This window comes from Homo sapiens, chromosome 2, assembly GCF_000001405.40.
Source record: "Homo sapiens chromosome 2, GRCh38.p14 Primary Assembly".
Classification (NCBI taxonomy): Eukaryota; Metazoa; Chordata; class Mammalia; order Primates; family Hominidae; genus Homo; species Homo sapiens.
Window position 1 is genome coordinate 68,421,800 of NC_000002.12, and position 21,111 is coordinate 68,442,910.

The 21,111-nt window shown below is 42.4% G+C and overlaps 6 annotated features.

The window, feature by feature from the left end:
- Positions 1,665-1,734: a silencer, noted in NCBI's record as "silent region_11591". NCBI's record gives its function as "represses an Ori minimal core promoter by ATAC-STARR-seq in GM12878 lymphoblastoid cells {active_cell/tissue: GM12878}" and the evidence as "EXISTENCE:reporter gene assay evidence [ECO:0000049][PMID:35858748]".
- Positions 2,075-2,314: an enhancer, noted in NCBI's record as "active region_15953". NCBI's record gives its function as "activates an Ori minimal core promoter by ATAC-STARR-seq in GM12878 lymphoblastoid cells {active_cell/tissue: GM12878}" and the evidence as "EXISTENCE:reporter gene assay evidence [ECO:0000049][PMID:35858748]".
- Positions 2,435-2,544: an enhancer, noted in NCBI's record as "active region_15954". NCBI's record gives its function as "activates an Ori minimal core promoter by ATAC-STARR-seq in GM12878 lymphoblastoid cells {active_cell/tissue: GM12878}" and the evidence as "EXISTENCE:reporter gene assay evidence [ECO:0000049][PMID:35858748]".
- Positions 19,622-19,671: an enhancer, noted in NCBI's record as "active region_15955". NCBI's record gives its function as "activates an Ori minimal core promoter by ATAC-STARR-seq in GM12878 lymphoblastoid cells {active_cell/tissue: GM12878}" and the evidence as "EXISTENCE:reporter gene assay evidence [ECO:0000049][PMID:35858748]".
- Positions 19,762-19,811: an enhancer, noted in NCBI's record as "active region_15956". NCBI's record gives its function as "activates an Ori minimal core promoter by ATAC-STARR-seq in GM12878 lymphoblastoid cells {active_cell/tissue: GM12878}" and the evidence as "EXISTENCE:reporter gene assay evidence [ECO:0000049][PMID:35858748]".
- Positions 20,002-20,241: a silencer, noted in NCBI's record as "silent region_11592". NCBI's record gives its function as "represses an Ori minimal core promoter by ATAC-STARR-seq in GM12878 lymphoblastoid cells {active_cell/tissue: GM12878}" and the evidence as "EXISTENCE:reporter gene assay evidence [ECO:0000049][PMID:35858748]".

Sequence of the window (21,111 nt, forward strand, 5' to 3'; positions counted from 1 at the left end):
AGTTTAGGACTTAGTGACCTGGATGATGGTCATTTCACTGATGAGTATAGCAAATACAAATGAACAACTTTGTTAGGGGAAAGAATGATGCATTTAGATAGGGAAATATGGAATTGAAAGTTCCAGTTAGGAATCCAGGAGTGAATGCCCAGTAGCAGTTAGAGATCTACAGGACTGGAGCAAAGGAGAAAGGTCACAATGGAGTTTTACACTAACGAGTCATTTCTGTGGGTATGAAGTGGTAAGAATGGGTGAAAATGCCCAGGGAGAACAAGAGCCCATGCATTCATTCTCTCATGCGTTCAGTATATATTAAGAGTCCACTGTGTGGTGATTGAAGAAATGTGAGAGCAACCTGGTAGAGTGCATTCCTTAAAGACAAGCAGGAGTGTAGACTCTTCTTTCAAGAAACCTGATTGTGCAGGGAAAGAATCAAATAAAGTGATAATTAGTTGGAAAAGGAGACCAAGGGAGAACCGCATAGATGATCACTGTGATGGAATTATACCTTCACATCTAGAAAATACCCTAAAAAGTAAGAAACATTCTGGAGTTGAAAATTTCATTGAATTTTTAATCTACACTTGAGAAAAACTTTTCTGTCAATGAGAGAAAAAATAACTTAAACATTTTCAGTTGATCATACACATAACTGTTAATATTGTTAAAATTTACAGTGATTTAATCATATTTATTTCTTTATATATTTATTTTTTAAGATGGAGTCTTGCTTTGTCGCCAGGCTGGAGTGCAGTGGCACGATCTCGGCTCACTGCAACCTCCGTCTCCCAGGTTCAAGTGATTCTCCTGCCTCAGCCTCCCGAGCAGCTGGGACTATAGGCACCTGCAACCATGCCCAGCTAATTTTTGTGTTTTTAGAGAGATGGGGTTTCACCACGTTGGCCAGGATGGTCTTGATCTCTCGACCACATGATCTGCCCTCCTTGGCCTCCCAAAGCACTGGGATTACAGGCATGAGCCACTGTGCCCGGCCCATCATATTTATTATTGTAATTGTTCACTTCTATCTATTATCTGATTCTTCTTCTCTGCAAATGGATTTAGAAGATTTATGTGTCAAAAGAAATTGATAGAACAAATGTTAATTGAACATCTCCTGAGCTGGATGTGTTACACAGGTGCAGAAAAGTGAAGACTCAATCCTGCCCTCTGGGGCTTAGCATCTGTTGAGAAAGATTAATGCCACTGAACCACATAGATGATCACTGTGATGGAATTATATCTTCACTTCTAGAAAATACCCTAAAAAGTAAGAAAGTGGAAATGTTGAGGAAAGTCCAGAAAACTGGCTTTAGGTACTATTTGTGTTGAATGAATAACTAAAGAACCTGAGTGTTGCCTTTTTTCCTTGTAGGCAATGGGGAGCCATTTATTAAAGGGGGCCTGGATGTAGCTAGCTTGGAGGAAGGTGTATTAGTTCATTCTCATGCTGCTATAAAGAACTTCCCAAGACTGGGTAATTTATAAAGAAAAGAAGTTTAAAAGTTCTGCAAGACTAGATAGGCCTCAGGAAACTTACAATCATGGCAGTAGTGGGGGTGGGGGCAGGGGGGTGGAAAACACATCCTTCTTCACCTGGTAGCAGGAAGGTGAAGAGTGAGAGCCAAGCAAAGGGGGAAGCCCCTTATAAAACCATTAGATCTCATGAGAACTTACTATCATGAGAGCAGCAAGGGGGAAACTGCCCCCATGATTCAATTACCTCTCACCAGGTCCCTCCTATGACATGTGAGGATTATGGGAACTACAATTCAAGATGAGATTTGGGTGGGGACCCAGCCAAACCATATCAGAAGGTGACTCCAGAGATGGGGAAATTAATTAGTGGACTACTGTAGTATATCTCTATGGGAGGTGAGAAGAGTGTCAGTAGCAGAAAGAATGATGAACAGAACCATTTCAAAGGAAGAATCTACAGATTGCAATGAGTAAGATGGTGAGAGTTAAGAGGTGTTTTCCATTCTTTGGGAAGAGCAGTTCCTTAAGAGAAAAAGGAAAGTCATAGCATGAGGATGGATTTGGAACATGAGTTTGAAGGTAAGGGGAGAGAGTCAGGATGCAGAGACTGACTTAGACTCATGAGCAAAGAAGTAACAGCTGAAGTCCTAGGAGATGCGTTCACCAAAAACGAATATGTAGAATTGAGAAATTGATATAGGTCACCTGAGAAGACTCATGAGTGGAGATCAGGAGTAGAAAGATGAGCCAGCAAAAGGGTTGGTAAAGATTTGGTCTGCAGAAGAAGTGACTCAGAAGCCTAGGGAGAGGAGAGATTCTTCAAGAAAAGGGAAGTGGTTAACAATGTCAAATTCACAAAGGTTAAGGTGGCTGAGATCTTAAAAAAGACGGTTTGTTTTGGTCATTAAAGTGCCGTGGTGACCTTCAGGGCAGAAGTTTCAAAAGAATGGTGAAGGGAGAAGTTACACTACAGAGAAAATGGGGAACAATGGTGAAAAAAAGAAAGCAATGGTCATAGATTATTCATTTCAGAAGTTTGCTACAGTGAATTACCTAGTGGAGAACTGGCTTGTAGCTACCAGGAGTAATAGGTTAACTCATTAATTTACTTGTTCAAGAGGCCTGTATTTATTAGATCCCACTAGGTGCTTGTTCACTGCTAGGTGAGTAAGGCAGGCAAGATCACCACTGTTATGGAGTTTGCATTCTAGTGTGAGAGAGATAGTCTGTAAATGATGAAGACAATTGCAGATATTAAAAGTGCTATGATGAAAATGAAACATGGCACACAATGAGCACATTCCAGTCTATACAAAGAGAAAGTGCATAGATTGAGCACAGTATATCTGGTGCTTGATAAACTATGGGGAAAGTGGTAGAAGACATCAGAGAAGCAGAGAAGGAGTTTGTGTTTTACTCTAAGTGCAAGGGGATGCTATAAGTAGATTTTAAACAGAGAAGTAACTTGATTAGATTTACAACTTCTAAACTCGCTTAGGCTGCTTTGTGAAGAATGGACTGTATAGGGCAAGAGTTGAAGTTGGAAATATGACGGGAAGATGCTGAATAATTCATTCAAGGAATAAATGTGGTTTAGATCCAGTTGGTACACCGCAAATAGTGACAAGGGGTCAGCTTTGGACTATATTGTGGTGGTAGAAACATCAACAGGATGTGCAAAATGATGTTGAAGGGGTAGGGTCTAAGAAGAAAGCCAAATGAAGGATGACTCCTAGGTTTTTGGTCTGAGTGAAAGCTAGGACCATTTCCTGAGCTGGGAAGATGGGGGGAGGTGCAGGGGTGTGGCGTGGCAGGGTGAGAAGAATCAGGGGCTTCATTTTGCTTGTGTATGATGTGCCTGAGTCATCTAAGTAATGGTGGGGATCAGAGAAATGGGAAGAACCAGGTGAAAGGTGTTTCTCTTAGTGGAGAACTGAACATTTGTAGGTTGCAGATAGAGGACAGGAGTTTGCTAAAGATGGGAAGAGAAGAAGAAAATGAGGAAGGAGCATTTGGGAGGAGGTAGAGGAGGTGGAGGAGGTGAAGAAGGATTGAGCCAATGGCCCAGACAGTGGATTGACTGTGGAAAGCAGGGAGGACACATTGATGTGAACAAGGAAGTAGAGATGGATGTAGAAATAGAGTTCCATAGAGGTTGAGAGGAAGAAAGAGGACACAGCTTGTGTCAAATGGCCCCTGACATGGCTCTAAATTAAAATAAAAAATGAGGTCATATGTTGAGGGAGATTTGGGTGACAAGACTTGTTGGGAGCTTGAGAAGAGAGGAGATTTGGAACAGACATGTGGGGCCCCTCAGCTGAGAATTGAGAGCATTTATCTCTATGCAGTGCAGAGGTAGAAAAGCCCTTGACCATCAGAAGTCCTTAGTGATCTGAAGACAAGAATGAGGAAGTCAGTGGGAATGGCCTCGGTGCCAGGGGCCAGTGTGGAGTCTCTAGCAGCAGGTTAAGGGTGTGTCGGTAGATTAGGTTAAGGATATGTTTGGGATACCCTCCAGGGAGTGTGGGATACCCTCCAGAGTCTGGAGGAGCCAGGGGGCTTTAGCATACGGAGTGGGGTTGAGGGGTTGGACTTCTGGCATAGGCAAAATGCTGGGTATCCTTGCCGTAACACAGGGGTGTGAAAGTGCTGCTAAAAGCATCACCCACAGACCACCACCAGCAGCATCCCCTGGGAGTCTACTAGTAATGCAGGAGCTGAAACAAAGAGGGCATTTTAGCCAGATTCCTGGATGATGTCATATGTATATAGTTTAGGATATGCTGCTCTAAGGAATGAGGCTTTAAAAGGTTAAATGCTTTTTATTTCATCTGTTTTGAGGCAGTGTCTCACTTTGTCACCCAGGCTGGAGTGCAGTGGTGTGATCTTGGCTCACTGCAGCCTCCATGTCCCAGGCTCAACCGATCTTCCCACCTCAGCTTCCTGAGTAGCTGGGACTACAAGTGCGTACCATCACGCCCAGCTAATTTTTGTGTTTTTTGCAGAGACAGGGATTTTGCCATGTTGGCCAGGCTAGTCTCAAATTTCTGAGTTCAAGCTATCCTCCTGCCTCAGCCTCCCAAAGTGCTGGGATTATAGGCATGAGCCACTACACCCGGCCTTAAATGCTTTTTGAAGTAAAAAACTGACCAGAAGATCTTTCTTGTAGATTAATTTGATATATTTTACTTTTTAATATATCTTTATCTTTTTCTGATTTTAAAAAACCTTGCACACTTGTTTTAGAAGTAGAAACTAAGAACATGTATAAAAAAGAGACTAACGTTCAGTCCCATTCTTAGGGTCTGTTATGATACTAGAAGGAGCAGAATAATGGCTGTGGGTGTCTCCCAGAGGTCTCATCTCTTCCAGGGAGTTATCACTGAGAGGCAGTTTAATAGCAGAGCAGCTCCTTCCTGGTTAGGTGACCTTCAGCCAGTTACTTAACACAGCCTTCATTTTTTATCAGTAAAATGGGCATGTGAATAATAGTACATAGGGTTAATATAAGGATTACATTACATTCAATCCTTATGAAAATTTACATATTCAAAATCCTATGAGAAAATTTACATATTTCAATTATGTAAATACCTTAGGGCAGTTCCTGGTTCATAATGAAAGCTCAAAAAATGTTAAAATTGCATATTAGGACTGTACCAGGGTGAGAAATCACTAAGTTAAGCAAACTTTTAACACAGTGTAAGGATTGCTCCCGCTTGGAGGTCTTTGGGCCGCTTCAGGTATAGACTATTGTCTTCAGGGTCTCACCATTCACGACAGTTCGGGAGGAGAACCCTGGAGGACTGAGGAAACAAGATGCACCCCTCATCTGAAGTTGCTCATCAGGAAAGGAAGCTGAGGCCTAGGCAAAGGGTGACAAGATGTGGAGACTGTGATTTGAGATGAGAAGCAACAGAGTTAAAGCCGGGGTACTGGAATGGAATGCAGGGTTCTCCGAGGGGCGTCTCATACATTTTACTTGGTGTTATACCTTTTCTCTCTGTTACATAAGTTCACAGCACCAATATGATTGCTGTTGCAATAACACAGCTGCAAATAAAAACCATAAAAACCCAGAAAAAACATCTGAGCTTCCCCCAACTGTCCTTGAATAGGGGTTAACCAATTTGGAAATCCCCGCTTCTGGTTGCAGCATATCCGCAAGTTTAAATAAACATTGATGAAACACTATGTTAAGAGTTCAGCATAACCATGAGTAAGGTTATATAAAATGTTTAATAGGTCACGTGGCACCTGTAGGGTAGAAATTGTACATTATTTCTAATGCATTTAGTAACTAAGTCCTTTTTGAAAGTTCTTGTAACTACAGGCTCTGCTTGAACAATAGCAATACTATATCTATGTGTGAGAGAATAATAACATTCCCTGGTCTGGTCTTGTTTCTTTAATATCATCTGCCTTCCCTGGCAGATGTTTCCTAGAATTTAATAAGAAAACAACCGTTTACAGAATATGTAGTCTAGGTCAGGAACTCGGTTAAGTACTTTTCAAGAATTGTTTTATTTCACCCTCACCCTATCCCTTTGAGATAGTTCCTTTTGTTATCACCATTTTACAGATGATGACACTGAGGCTCAAAAAGGTGAAGTAAATTGGCCAGGGTGACACAACTAGGTAGGATAGCAGAGATGGGATTCAAACCCAGAGTTTGCACTTTTAATCAGTGCTGTTTTCTGTCCTTCCTACTCATACTCTTCCCAGGAGTATCATTCTAACCTATTGCTGCATTTAGCATGCACGGTACCAGGAATTCTCCAGCCTTCTGGGTTGCCCTTTGCTTTGGCATCCAAATAAAGTAACTCCAGTCTTGTACAACTTTCTGTGGGAAAGCTGATGACCTCACCAATTTTCCCCCAAATTCTCGAGAGTAGAGGAGAGAACTTATATTATTTTATCTGTTCTCATTCTAAATTCTTCCTCTTGTATTAGTTCTCATCACCTACCCGATGACATAAAGCAGTTACTGTAATTCTCTGCATACAGCCTCACCCTGCACTTGCACATAGCTCTTCTTCCGTTCTTCTAAACATCACTCCTCCAAAGGTATGAAGTGGTCAGCTGGTTTCTCTGGAAAGCAGCTGAGACAGAAGTAAGTGGAGGAGGTTTGATGAGAAGGGGAAGGAGTAATCCCATGAGAGATAAAAAAGGAAGGAAGCAGAATTTGGGCAGGAAAATCCTTCGGACTGCAATGCAAATCTGACACCAGGGTTGGCCTTGAAAGCAAAGGGCAGTCTTTCCTACAGACAGAATTTGAGTGGGACACCTGGTGATAATATGTGTATGGACTCATACACAGTGATGAATGGCCTGTGCAGTTGTTCAGGGGCCTTTAAGGAAAAAACTGTAAGTTCAGAGACAGGAAGTCTAGTTAACTTTTAAAACGAATTCTATGCTAAATTCCAGGGATATCCAATCTTTTGGCTTCCCTGGGCCATAATGGAAGATCAAGAATTGTCCTGGACCACACATAAAATACAAGAACACTAACAATAGCTGATGAGCTAAAAAAAAATCACAAAAAACTCTCAGTGTTCTAAGAAAGCTTATGAATTTGTGTTGGGTCACATTCAAAGCAATCCTGGGTCATATACAGCCCACAGGCCATGGGTCAGACAAGCTTGGTATACTCCTCTAGCTCTGGCTCAACTAAACTCAAAATTCCTTTCTTCTCGCAATAAAACCTGGCACTTGATAAGAAAAACATTGGCTTTCATAACTATTATCTCTAAAGTTGACATCAATTTTTTTGCAGCTGAGTTCTTCACTATTCTCTGAAGGGGCTAAGGGAGTAAGAAAGATTGCCAGGAATAAAAAGTACTTCTGACTTATTTTAAATCACTATCTTGCAGGAATTAATTATATGATTTTAATTATGTGAAGTTTAAATTCAGGCAATATTAATCAACATTTATAAAAGTCAGAATAGAGATTACTTTTGGAGGCTGTGGTATTGTGATACATTAAGAATATAAGAAACATATATTAGGTCTTCATCCCCATTTCCTGGCACATAGCTCCTAAACACTTGTAAAATCCTGGATGATAAAGGCAAGAGGAATGTCTTTTGTTATCTATATTAATTATTGTATATTATTTCATCATATGTGAGTTTGTTTTCATGAAGTGACTCTTGGAGGCTGGTGGTTATCAGAGGAATCACATGGTTGATTACAGGGTTGGAACTTTCAGCACTCCCTCCCTCCCCCAACCTCTGGAGAGGGGAGAAGGGCTGGAGATTGAGCTCAGTCACCAATGGCCCATGATTTAGTCCAGGGTTCCCCAACCCCCAGGCTGTGGACCAGTACCAGTCTATGGCCTGTTAGGAACTGGACTGCAAAGCAGGAGGCGAGCAGTGGGTGAGCAAGGATTCCCGCCTGAGCTCCGCCTCCTGTCAGATCAGCAGCAGCATTAGATTCTCGTAGGAGTGTGAATCCTATTGTGAACCGAGTATGCAAGGGATCTAGGTTGCGTCATCCTTATGAGAATTGAATGATAAATGTAATGTGCTTGAATCGTCCTGAAACCACACCCCCCATCTGTGGAAAAATTGTCTTCCATGAAACTGGTCCCTGGTGCCAAAAAGGTTGGGGACCACTAATTAGTCAATCATGCCTACCGAATAGAAACTCCATAAACCCCCTAACTGACAGGACTTGGAGGACTTCAGGTTGGTGGAAACACAGACCTGCTGGGAGGGTGCAGCATGTGGAGCAGGACGGAACCTCTCAGCTCCACCCTCATACTTTGTCCTGTGTATCTCTTCATCTGGCTGATCTTAAGTGGTATCCTTTAAAATAAACTGCTAATTGTAAGTAAAGCACTTTCTTGAGTCCTGTGAGCCATTCTAGCAAATTATCAAACCTAAAGAGAAGGTCATGGCAACCCCCAATGGATAGCTAGTTAGCCAGATGGACAGGTCACAGTTTGGGACTACTGACTGGTGTCTAAATTTGGTTTCAGCCTTGCGAGGCTGAGTCCTCAACCTATGGGGTCTGCACTAACTCTGGGTAGTTAGTGTCATGAGTAAATTGTAGTACACCCACTTGGTATCTGGAGAGTTGGAGAATTGCTTAATGTGAGGTAAACTCCACACATTTGGTGTGAGAAGTATTTTGAATGTATGAATTTTTCTTTCCTTTTAGGGGTGCAGTGTACAAATTGGGCAGTTGCAGGAGGGAATCATAGGCTGCTGCTGGGATGTGCTATGACTTGGTCTATGAATTAGCTACACTCAATTAATATGTGGAAGACAACTCTTCAAGCTGTACACTTAAGATGAGTGTACTTTTTGCATTTAATTGTATATTCTTTCTATAAAAATTATTGTATGAGTTTCCTATTGTTGTAACAAGTAACCACAAATTTAGAAGCTTAAAACAACACAAATTTATTATCTCACAGCTCTGGAGGTTATAAGTCTGAAATGGGTCTCGAGATGTTGGGAGGGCTGCATTCCTTGATGGAGGCTGTAATTTTCTAATTTTACTATTCACTTATCTTTCAACAGATGCTCAGTGATTGTCAGCCACTAAAAGCCTCTAATTACAACCTATCTGCACTTCTAATTCCACCCTATTCTCCCCATGCAGGTAGATGACTAGGTTAGGCTTTTATTTTCAAGAAGGCTAAAGAATAAGGTACATTCAGCTTGTTAAAGGCATATTCAACTTATTGATACTATCCTGTTGCCTATACATTTACAGACATTCATGTGACTATCATTATTATTAGAGAGAATGTTCTAATCATTCTCTCTCTATAAAGGTGTTTTCTCAGGGCCCACTGTATGGTTAGAAATTGGAAAAGACCTTCCAGTTTCCTTCACAGATGATTCTCCTCACATTCTCTCCATTTGCTTTTTTAATATATTTTTTGAGACAGGGTCTTACAATGTTACCCAGTCTGGAATTCAGTGGCGTGATCAAGTCTCACTGCAGCCTCAACCTTCTGGGTTCAAACAATTCTCTCATCTCAGCCTCCCAAATATCTGGAATTACAGGCCTCTCGATATATTGTCCAGGCTGGTCTTGAACTCCTGGGCTCAAGTGATTCTCCCATTTCGTCCTCCCAAAGTCTTGAGATTACAGGTGTGAGCCACTGTGCCTGGCCTTCATTCAAATTTGCCTGTGTATTTTTTTATTCTTGACAAATGAGTCAGCAAAGTTGCAAATGTCCCCTTATTTGACTTGGTTCAGTGTTTCAATGTCATTCCAAAACAAAGATGCCAGGGATGCTGTTCCAAAGTCTGTGGTCTCTATGTGTATGGAAGCACTAGTGAGGGCACGCTATTTCTCTTTCTACTCAATCCACACACTGGGATGATGGCTACAAATGCTCATTGTGTTACGGGATCCTTGTGGTGTCGCTTCGCCTGCTGGAAACCTCTGTGGCCAGTGGTGCCTTTGCCCAAGTTTTGTTCTGGCCTGCTGGGCTTGTTCCACCCAGTTGGCCCAGCAGGCTGCACTCAGCTCATGCTACTGGCCTGGATCCCATGCCTGCCAAGGGCAAGCCAGGCGTGGAGTAATGAAGGGTATGTGAGTGAGCGTGGGGTCTAGCCACCGCACATAGCTGGGCATGCCAGCTGCTGCTGTGGGGCAAGCAACTCCAGGTGCTGGTGTGGGTGCTGGCTCCCTGCAAGGCTGCATCTGGACTAGGTGCACCACAAGCAGCTTCCATAGCTGGCACTGGCAAATGCTCTGGGGCCTGGAAGCTTGCAGACTCCAGAAGCTGCAGGGCTCCAAAGAGGGAGTCACAGCCCTGGCTCAGGGAACACCCAGGCCTGGGATCCCCAAAGGGCCGCAGCTCTTCTCTCCCTCTTTTTGCCTGCAATGTGGCGAGCAGGGGCATGTTTCAGCCCTGTTTGTGTTACAGCTCTTTTAGCCCTGCCATTCAGTGGGTCCTGAGTTCTTGTCCTATGTCCAGGAAGAATGAGGTATGCAGGCAAGTGGAGGGTGAGCGAGATGAAGAGGAGTTTTATTAAGCAATAGAACAGCTCAGAGGAGAACCACAGTAGGTAGCTCCTCTCTGTAGCCAAGGTGTCACAATGAGTGGTCAGCTCTCGCAGAGAGGGTAGCTCCCCTCTGTAGTCAGGTAAATCCGAGGAGTGTTCAGCTCTCAGCAGAGAGGGTAGGTCCTCTCTGCAGGCAGGTCATCCTGTCACCTCTTCAGTTCTCAGCACAGAGGTAGCACCTCTCTGCAGGCAGGTCATCCTGTTGTCTCTGCAGCTGTCAGCAGAGAGGAGGCCCTGGAGTGGGTGAATCCTCTCTTCAGGCAGGTCATCTTGTCATCTCTTCAGCTCTCAGCACAGAGGTAGTGTCTCTCTGCAGGCAGGTTGTCCTGTCATCTCTGCAGCTCTCAGCAGAGAGGAGGCCCTGGAGTAGATGGATCCTCTCTGCAGGCAGGTCATCCCTTCATCTCTCTGTCTTCTCCCCATCATCTCTCCATCCTCTCTTTGACTCTGGCTGAGTCTGGTGTTTTTATAGGTCTCAGAGAGGAGGAAGTGTGTGCTGATTGGTCCATGGGCAGCCATTGGCAGGCCCAAGAAAAAGCACCACAAGTTCTCCCTTGGGTCCTCAGGACTGGCGGCCCAGCCCCCAGGCTTCAGGCCCTCCCCGGCTTGAAAGTGCGGCTTCACCAGGTACCCACCCACTTCTACTCAGGAGCCTGTCTGCCTCCTGTCACTGTTCGTGGCGCTCAGGCTTTTCATGCCAAGGGGCACCTTTAGGCCAGCACTGGGCTTTCTCCAGCCCCCCAACTCAGCCTCCCTCCTGTGTTTGTCAATGCCCTAAGTCCAGACGGGGCCGAGGCAGCAGGGGGCTGGCGTGTCAGTGCTTCCCCGAGTGTGTGCACACCTGGCTGGGCTGTGACAGCACCTGAGCTTGGCCCCGCCTTTGCTCCAAGATTGGAGCAGGTGCTGGCAGCAGGGAGAAGCCAGGCAGTGGAAGCAGGCATTTCCTGTCCTGCAGGGGAAGGGGGCATGCCTTCTCAGGCCTCTGAGAGTGCAGAGATGCTTGGATCTGCAGCCACAGCTTGGGCAGCTGCCGCTGTGCCTGGGATGGTGGGGCTCCTGCCTGCTTCTGGCTCCTGAGAGCACAGGGGTGCCCTGGTTGCTGCTGCAGCTTGGGTGGCTGCAGTTGCCTCTGGGGTGCTCTGCCCTGCCAACTCGGAAAGGGCGGGGCTCTTGCTTGTTCCCAGCTCCTGTGTGCTCCATGGAGTGCACAGTCCTGGCCACACCTCCTTCCTACATTTTCCCTGTAGCAGCAGTGGATGAGGTGCAGGTTGGGCAGCGACCCCAGCCAACTCCTGCACAAATGAACCTGATGCTCCAGGGGCAGCCCTGTGAGTCCCAGCTGTGCCTGTGGCTGGGTGCTCATGGGTTCCTGGGATGCAGCAGGGAGCAAGGCTGAGGCCCTGGTGGAGACTACAGGCCTGGGAGTGGGTCCTGCCCAGCTGTATGAGAGTGGGGTTGGTACAGTTGGCCGTCTTGGGGACACAGGGCACAAGGGCCCACTGCTGCCACTGCTGCCCCTGAAGCCACTCCTGATGCCACCACTGGCATCTCCCCACTGCAGGCAGCATGATGGCAGCAACCCCTCCAGAAGTCCCACCGCCACCATCAATTGGTTGACTGCCTTGCATACTTTCTCTTACAAAGCCAGGTTTTTAAAAGCTGAAATTTCTAAAATCAATAAAAGTGTTAGTTGAAAAGCGAAGTCTCAAAATTACATATACACATAGTTTATTAAATAGTTAATATAGGCAAATTAAGATTTAAAATGGAATAAAATTTAAAGTAATATGTAGGCATTAGTACTGTGTGATTCTTGTATTAATCTGTGTGCAAACAAATGCTTATATAGCATTTACTTTTTAATTCATTCAAAATGAAGTTAAACACGTTAGAAAGAGTTGTTACTACAGGGTATTCAAAAATGGGAAAGTATCTACCCTAGAACTTTGTTTTTTTACTTTTTTTTTCAAGAGTAGAGACAGGGTTTCACCATGTTGCTCAGGCTGGTCTCAAACTCCTGGGCTCAAGCCATTCTCCCACGTCAGCCTCCCAAAGTGCTGGGATTACATGAGCCACCATGCCTGGCCTAACCTACAACTTTGAAAAGAATGCTCTCAGGTAGCCATTTACCTCCTGTTAGATAAAAGGGCTGGGGAGAGTGTTTGCAAGACGTTTGTTCTTCAGATTCTAAAAATATGTCCTTTAGTCAAGGTTGGGGTATTCACTCTTCTTGGAAGATTAATAATTAGGCTGTACCTAGTTACCATAAAAATATTCTGATCAGCTGTTTTTATTCATTGCATTCAATTAATTGATATGCATTCAAAATACTTATCAATTAATCACTACATGCCAGGCAATATTTTAGTTGCTGACCTCCTTGAGCTGATATTCTTACCAAATAGCTTTATCTATTTATGATGTTTATCACATTATAAATATGTCATAATGATATTATGACATTAATATGTGAGATAATAGGAATAGAGTCAAGGGTCAGTGGCCAGTGGTGTTCTCTTGGCAAGGCTAGACAGGGAAGTCCTTGCTAATAAAATGGCACTGGAGCAGAAACCTAAAGGAAGAGAATGAGCCATGTTGACATCTGGGGAAAAAGCATGCTAGACAGAGGAAACTGCAAGTGCACGGCCCTGAGGCATGAGTCTGCCTGAGGAGCATCAAGATCAGTATGGCAAAAGCACAGTGGGCATGGGAGATGGGGAGAAAAAGGGCCTGAGGGTGAGATGAAAGTAGCAGTGGAGTGGTGGAGTAGTGAGCCATCAGAGCCAATTGGCCTACTGGTTCCATCATTTGACCTATGAGCAGCACTTGATGTCAATAGTCCCTCCCTTCCTCCTTGCAGCATTTCACTTTACTTCCTAGTTTCCCTCTGTCTCACTTGTCTGTCCCTTTGCTGGCTTCATCTCTGGAGATAGAGTGACTCAGAGCTCAGTCCTTGGACCTCTTTTTATCTACTTAATCCTGTGTTTCAAGAAGTCTCAAACTTTTTAATATAAACCAATGAAAATGATGATTCTCCTGCAATGATTGGTGTTATTGCTGGACATGTTATAAAATTTAAATTCAAAACCAAAATATTTTGTAAGAATATAATGCATCTGAGTGTTACAGTTACCAGGAATGATCTCTCCTTAAAATAAAACATGAAGAGCACTATGAATGTATCAGTATAAACAAAATATGGCCCCATTGCTTAATCCCTACACAGTTCTATGCACTCCTTAATCAATTGGCTAAACAAGTTGTAGCAGCAGTTGACTTAGTCCTGCCAAATGTTGAAAGGATTTTTTGAAATGTCAATTTTAAAAACATCCAATTTTTTTAAAACCTCCCTTGGACAACCAGGAAGATTGGATGAAAGACTTGGTTTTTTGATTGACATTGTAACTCATCACATTTTGACCATACCCTTTCATGGGTATTCATAAGTGGTTATATAAACACATTGTGTAATCCACTCATTCCTAGTGAAATTGTTTCTTGAGGGAAATCAACTGGCAAATAATTTGACCCATTTTGCTACACTGAAGTCAGTTTCCAAAAATAGAAATCATGGTATGAAGTACATTTGTGAGGCTGAGGACTAAATTTCAAAAAATTATCTGATTTCAAACTTTATGAAAATGAGTTAAGACTATTCTTTTTACCATCTAACTTAATACTGACAGTGTGGAAAAATTGCTACAAGAAGTTACTAAACAGTTGTTAAAGGAGATCACAAAAAAGAAACAAAGTTATTTTAGAAGAGCAGAATTTTATAAATATCTTAAGAGTGGTTAGCCTAGATATGAAAATCATTGTGCAAAGATTGTATCCATATTTGGAAGTACCTATACTTATTATCAGCTGTTTTCACTATGTATAAAAATAAATCTCTCTCCTACGTAAAGGATTGAAGGCTCAACTCTGTGTTGTAAACTGAATAAGAAACACAAGACCTGACAGTGATAGCTTGGTGAGGAAGAAAATGTGTGAGGTTTTAGCTTCAAATAGAAGAAATAACAAGTTTAAAAAAGACAATGTCGTTTAACAGGGAAGCATTTCTGTGTCTTTCCAGATAACGACAATCACTCTTAGCCTTGGGAGAGATTCGGATCTGTTACAGAAGCCACGTGAGAGTGAGAGGAAGATAATATTCCAACTCTGACATTCTTTAAGCTTGACAGCAAGGCTTACAATCCAGTCACTGGTGGGAGGGAAAGGGTTTCCTGTTTTCAGACCTGGAAATTCAGATGGTGGAGCTCATGTAAAGAAGATGCTCCAGCTGGGATGCCAGGTGATGAGGCCAGAAGGGGGTGGTGGTGACAGAAACCTGCCCCTCCTTGTTCTGGTGCTATGGGAAAATCAGGGAGAGAGAATCAGGAGGGACAGAAAAAACCCTAGGCCAATCCAATAACAATGTGTCGTGCTCGAGCCTCTGAGCCATGGTGTGGAGAGTGGGAAGCTAGATAACTTGGAGACAGAGTGGCTTTCCCTGCTTACAGTTTGAGATTCTGGAGGAGACGAGGCTCCATGTCAATGTAGGGTGAACCAGCCCAGCCAAGACAGCTGCTGGGTGTGACCAGGAAGAGAGTAGCTCTGATTTAAACTCCAAGCCTCTTTGTTTCAGATTGAAAGGCAGAGGGTTTATCATTGCCCCTGCCATTGGGAGGAGTGGGTTGCCCCACAGCAGACATTGGAGGGAGACCGACTGGCTCTGTGGGACTACATGGACTTGGAAGAGATTTTGGTCAATAGCCAGGCAATAGCTAAGGGTAGGCCTGATTAGCATGAGATGCCAGTCTCTCCCACACCCTGTCCCCCTCCCCCAACACTTACTGTTTTGTAGAGAAGAGGCCATGCGTGCATCACCTGAAAGGCAGGAGTAGATGCCAGCAGAAAGCCCAGGGACACCATCAGCCAATTATACTCCAGCAGACGTAACACCAGATACTGTGCTGCTTGGGATAGCAATGATGGAAGAATGGATGTTATATGACTTCTCCTGGCTCAAAGTCACTTGAGCATTTTCCTCAAAAATCTGATATTTAATCATTGTTATTGGATTGGCCTAAGGTTTGAAATGGATTGAATATTAAATATTTTTCCCTTGCTGAAACCCAAAGGTTGGAGTCTTGGGGGAAACACCTGCTCTCTTATATCAGTTTTAAAAAGAAATGACACTTTTCTGTATGTATATAGGTTGTGTAAAAAAAATAATCCTTGGCTGGGTGCGGTGGCTCACACCTGTAATCCCAGCACTTTGTGGGGCCGAGGTGGGCAGATCACCTGAGGTCAGAAGTTCGAGACCAGCCTGACCAACATGGTGAAATCCTGTCTCTACTAAAAAAAAAAAAAAAAGAAAAAAAAAAAGAAAAAAAAAAATTAGCAGGGCATGGTGGTGCATAACTGTAATCCCAGCTACTTGGGAGGTTGTGGCAGGAGAATCAATCACTTGAACCCAGGAGATGGAGGTTGCAGTGAGCCGAGATCACGCCATTGCACTCCAGCCTGGGCAACAAGAGCAAAACTGCGTCAAAACAAACAAAACAAAAAAACCACAACCTCTCACAGCATTCAGGATAACTAAATATTTAATTTTTCAATCTGTGTTCCATTTCACTGGCAAAATAAAATTTGCTATGTTATATAAATATGTGTGAGATTATGTGCTCGTGCCATAGTTCCATAAAAATAAGGCAAGTCTGGTTATGCCTTTCGTCAGGTGATTTTTCTTTCATCGAGTCTGTTTTATTCCTGTTTGTCACTGCCTTGGCCTCTGGAGGCATTTGGGGTTTATGCATTTCTGCATTTAAGGAAATCAAATACCTCGTCAGGAACTCCTTGACATTGTGAAGGGAATAAGAAGGGAGGAGAGCAAAGAAAATTCACACACAAAACTCACCCAACAAAATGATTTGTTAGTAATTTCAAAGAAAATGGACATGAATCCAGTAAAAAAAAAATGCATAGAAGTAGGCTTGTAAAGAATGGGTCTGCCACATTCTATGGCAGTTTGTAGGACAGAAAAACACCATATAGTTCCTCATAAAAGAAAGCCTGAGCTACATTAGGGGGGCTTCTTTATCTTTCCTTTCTCTTATTTTCCATCCTTGCTTCCGTCAATAAATGTGTGCTGGGTTCAGTGCTAGACACTGGGATTTCACAAGGAATGAGACAGGAGTGATGGCACCTCACAGTATTTAGTCATTAGGGAAGGAGAAACAGAGAAAAGCCAGTAAAGACATACATAAAGTAAAATAATTTCAAAGTGCACTAAGTCCTCCCTACAAGGGAAACAGGATGTTGAAATGAAACATAACGGGAGCTTGGGAGGGCGGTCAGGGGAGGAGTCTGCTTTGGATATAGCAGGCAAAGAAAGTCTTGCTGAGGAACTGATACAGGAGCTGAGACTTGAACGTAGGTGATCAACTTGTCCCAGTTTGATCAAGACTTTCTTGGTTTTAAAATGAAAAGTCCTGCATCCCCGGAGTCCCTTTAGTCCCAGGCAAACCAGGATGGTTGGTCACCCTACTTGAAAGATGAGAAAGAACCAACATTACACAGAGTAGGGGAGCAAGTACCCCAGAAAGAGGGACTCATATGTACGAAGGTTTAGGGGTGAGAGATAGCTTGGCATGGCCAAGGAACCAAAGGATTGGTGTAAGGGAGGAGGCTAAAGGAACGTGCTGAGGTGGAAGAGACAGGTGGGGACCATGCCACATGTGGAGGCTCCAGTAAATATCTCTGGTTTTATTTGAGACACATTGAGAAACCATTGACAGTTTTCATGTAGGGAGTGACATGATCACATTGGATGCTATTTGGAGAATAGATAGAAGGAATCAAGATTAGAAGCAATGTTGGGATGATATGGTAGTAGTCCAGGTGAGAAGTGAAATTGATGAGGTAGAATGCACAGAACTTGCGTGGATGTCTCATGGGTTTCTGGTTCAAGCAGTGGAATTCACAGTTTAAAGCAATGGAGAAAATTGGAGGAAGAAGAGGTAATTTCTTCCCAATCTCCACCCCTTCTATAGATGAGTTATACATCGGAGACCACAGGTTTTTAGAAGATGTAATTCTTTACAAAGAGACATTCATTCTAGTATTTCAAATTGCTGCCTGCATAAGTAGGAAGCTTCGGGCCCTGGGAAGGGGTTGTCATTCCTCAGTCTCTGACACAGCCCAGTTACTTATTTTTGGAGAAAAACACTGAATATGATGAATGATTTTCTAAGCAGTCAGAAAGATAAATGCAGAGATGGCTAGAAGGAAAAAGTATCCAATGTTCCATGTGTGTACATTCACCACAGCTGTGTTAATTCTAGATCATAAACTCTGCCCAGCGCTATAGCTTGAGAGTTAAAAAAAAAAAAAGAATAAAATATTTTTAAAGGTACTCTGGGCAAAAGAGAACACATTTAAAAAGAAAAACGTGAACAAAAATTTAAGTTAAAAGAATAAAAAAGGAACTATAAGTAAAAAGATTGAGGCAAGAATTATTCAGAAATTAAAGTAATAGATTTGGTTAAAAATAAAAAAGATCAAAAGAGCTATAACTAAAAAATTAAAGTAACAGATTAAGGTAGAAAATTATGGTAAAATTTAGAAAAAGATTAAAAGGATAAAATATACAGTGTAAAGTCAAGAATAGACCACGTGAAAAGTAAAAATGCTAGACCCATAAGATTTAGAAAGGTAAAATCACGACAAACCTAAAATAAGCTGAAGGATAAACAGAGAGAACAAAAATAGAGAGGTGACAAAAGACTAAAGGAGGAATTACATACAATCAAAATGTTAAAACTTGCTAAAATTTAACTCTAAATCCCCAAGCATTTATGGAATAAAGGTCTGGAAAAATAAGCTCCCATTACTTAAGAAGAAACAAAGCTGACAAGCCACATGACTTACTAAGAGCAGCCTCTGAGCCTACACAACCCTCATGGGTTGGGGGCTCCAGTCGGGTTTCTTGAGGGCAGTGCAGGGGGGCCTGAATTGCCAGGGTATGTGTATTAGTCTGTTCTCATGCTGCTGATAAAGACATACCCTAGACTGGGTAATTTATACAGGAAAATGCATGTAATGGACTTATAGTTCCACATGGTTGGGGAGGCCTCACAGACCTGGTGGAAGGCAAGGAGGAGCAAGTCACATCTTATGTGGATGGCGGCAGATAAAAAGAGAGCTTGTGCAGGGCAACTCCCATTTTAAAAACTATCAGCTCTCGTAAGGCCTGTTCACTATTATGAGAACAGCATGGGAAAGACCTGCCCCCATAATTCAATCATCTGTCACTGTGTCCCTCCGACAACATGTGGGAATTATGGGAGCTACAAGATGAGATTCAGGTGGGGATACAGAGCCAAACCAGATCAGCGCGTGACCTCTCATGTATCTGTTTAATGCCAACAGCAAGCCTGCTGGTCAACAGCAAGCAGAGCTCATATCTGCTATGTCAACAGCAATTCCAAGGAAGGGAATTCCTCCAAAGGTTGTTGGCAGGATAGCTTCTGTATAGTAAGCACTCAACTATTATTGTTATCTATGGACATTAATCTTGAGTGTTGACTTTTGAATCAAAAATACATTGTACTTTGGGCAGGGTCAGGAAAGTAGAATCCAAAAGTAAGTCATATTGAGATAAAATTATACACCATACTTGGGTACATTTTACTTTCCATTTTGAGGTGTGGATACTGTGTGTGTGTGTGTGTGTGTGTGTGTGTGTGTGTGTGTGTGTACTAAAGCACATAATCCAGGAGATGAATTTCAAAATTTCCATGTGATAGGTTTATTTTTAAATGAAATGAAATTTTGGATGTGAATTTTGGTTACTTTGCTCAACTCCCCAAGGCCTCTGGCTCATTCTTTCTGCCTATGCGAGTTTTCAGAGGGAAAGAATAAAAACATAATCTTAGAAATGTTCTCATCCCCAGGTGAACTCCTTTTACAGTCTTTTCACACAAGAGACTAGAATTTATTCACAATGTTAGTAAAAGGGTGAGAAATTTCTTTACACTTAACCCAACCTCAGAGCTCATATCTGCTATGTCAACAGAATATACTCACACCTACAGCTTGGTTTCACAGAGCTACAGAGTCAGTGGAAATGCCAGGCTGAAGTTTTGGAGAACAAATCCGTATGAAATAATATCCCTGTGGCAAAATACAGAATAATGACTTGGGCCTTTGTGGATAAAATACGCAAAAGCTGAATTTAAGTGTTCTTAATTGGATCTTTGAAGGTTCAGATAGAAACCTAGGGGGTGGCCTGTTGGCCAGGCCAGGTCTGAAGGGTGGAGTGGGAAGAGAAGTCTCTTCATTGGAGTATTATGTTCCCTGATATCTTATATTTCTAGCAGAAGAGGCTTTTTGTCATTTTGGGGCTATACTCTATGTTCTCTCTGGGGAAACACCCTACTCCATTTTCAGTCCAACCCTCCCACCTGGTTTGGGCAGGACTAGTTTCAGTTCTGTCATTTGCAACTAAAAGGGTACAGACAAATTCTGACTTTTGAGGTTTTGCAATCAGCCAACAGGGCTGCAATGGGGAACTAGCTGCTCCCACTCAAGCGCTTTGACTGGGCTTTAATAGAAGTATTGCGCCCTCTGCTGGCAGAGGATTAGCATTGACCAGATCTCAAGGACGATGTGACAGAAAGCATTTTAGAGCCAGTCCTGGAGTCAAGGTCTTTCTCCTCCATATGCAAGCTGTTTTGCTTTGCTTAAGTAATGTTACTTCTATAAGTCTGCATTTTTGTATCTTAAAAATATTAATGTCAGAAACTACCTTTCAAGACTCTTTGATGAGTACATAAATGGCCATGTGAAAAGTACTTAATCGTTGAAAGATACTATTATAAGACAGTTTTGGCGAAGAAAGTCAGACTGTTTATCAAGTTTTTTCATGGTTCTAAAATATGATATTCAATGTTATTGGTTCTCTGGAGCTGAGAAAACATACATACATTGTATCAACTGAAGAAACTATTGTTATAGAATGTAGAGTACTAATATTAGTAAAGTTCTTAGAAATTTTCAGGTGAGAAATGTATAACAAATCAGATATGCCAAAAAGTCCCTTTATAAAATTTAATATACATTTCCAGTAGAAGTATTAGATAAAATAGACATTAATGGGTTTTCCTTTAACATGATTTTATATATGTATGAGAGACAGAGACACAGGAGAGAGGGAGGGAGAGAGAGAGAAAGAGAAAGAGAATATTATAATGGAGTAATACTAGAATACTGGAAACATTCCCACTAAGGCAAGAAACAAGGTAAAAATGTCTGCCATCTCCATTACTATTTAACATCATATTGGAGACATTAGTATACTAGTTAAAAAATTGGGGCATAAGACTTGGAAAAGTAGTTAAACTCTCTCCATTTGCAGTTGATATGACAGTATATCTGGAAAACCCAATAGAATAAATGATGACTCTAAATGAACAAAAGACCTCAGTAAGTTAGCAGGCTACAAAATGAGTGTACAAAAATCACACGTGTGTGTGAGTGTAAATGTGTGTGTATGTAAATGATAGCTAGTTAGAAGATAAAAGAAGAAAAAATTCAATTTGCAATAATGACAA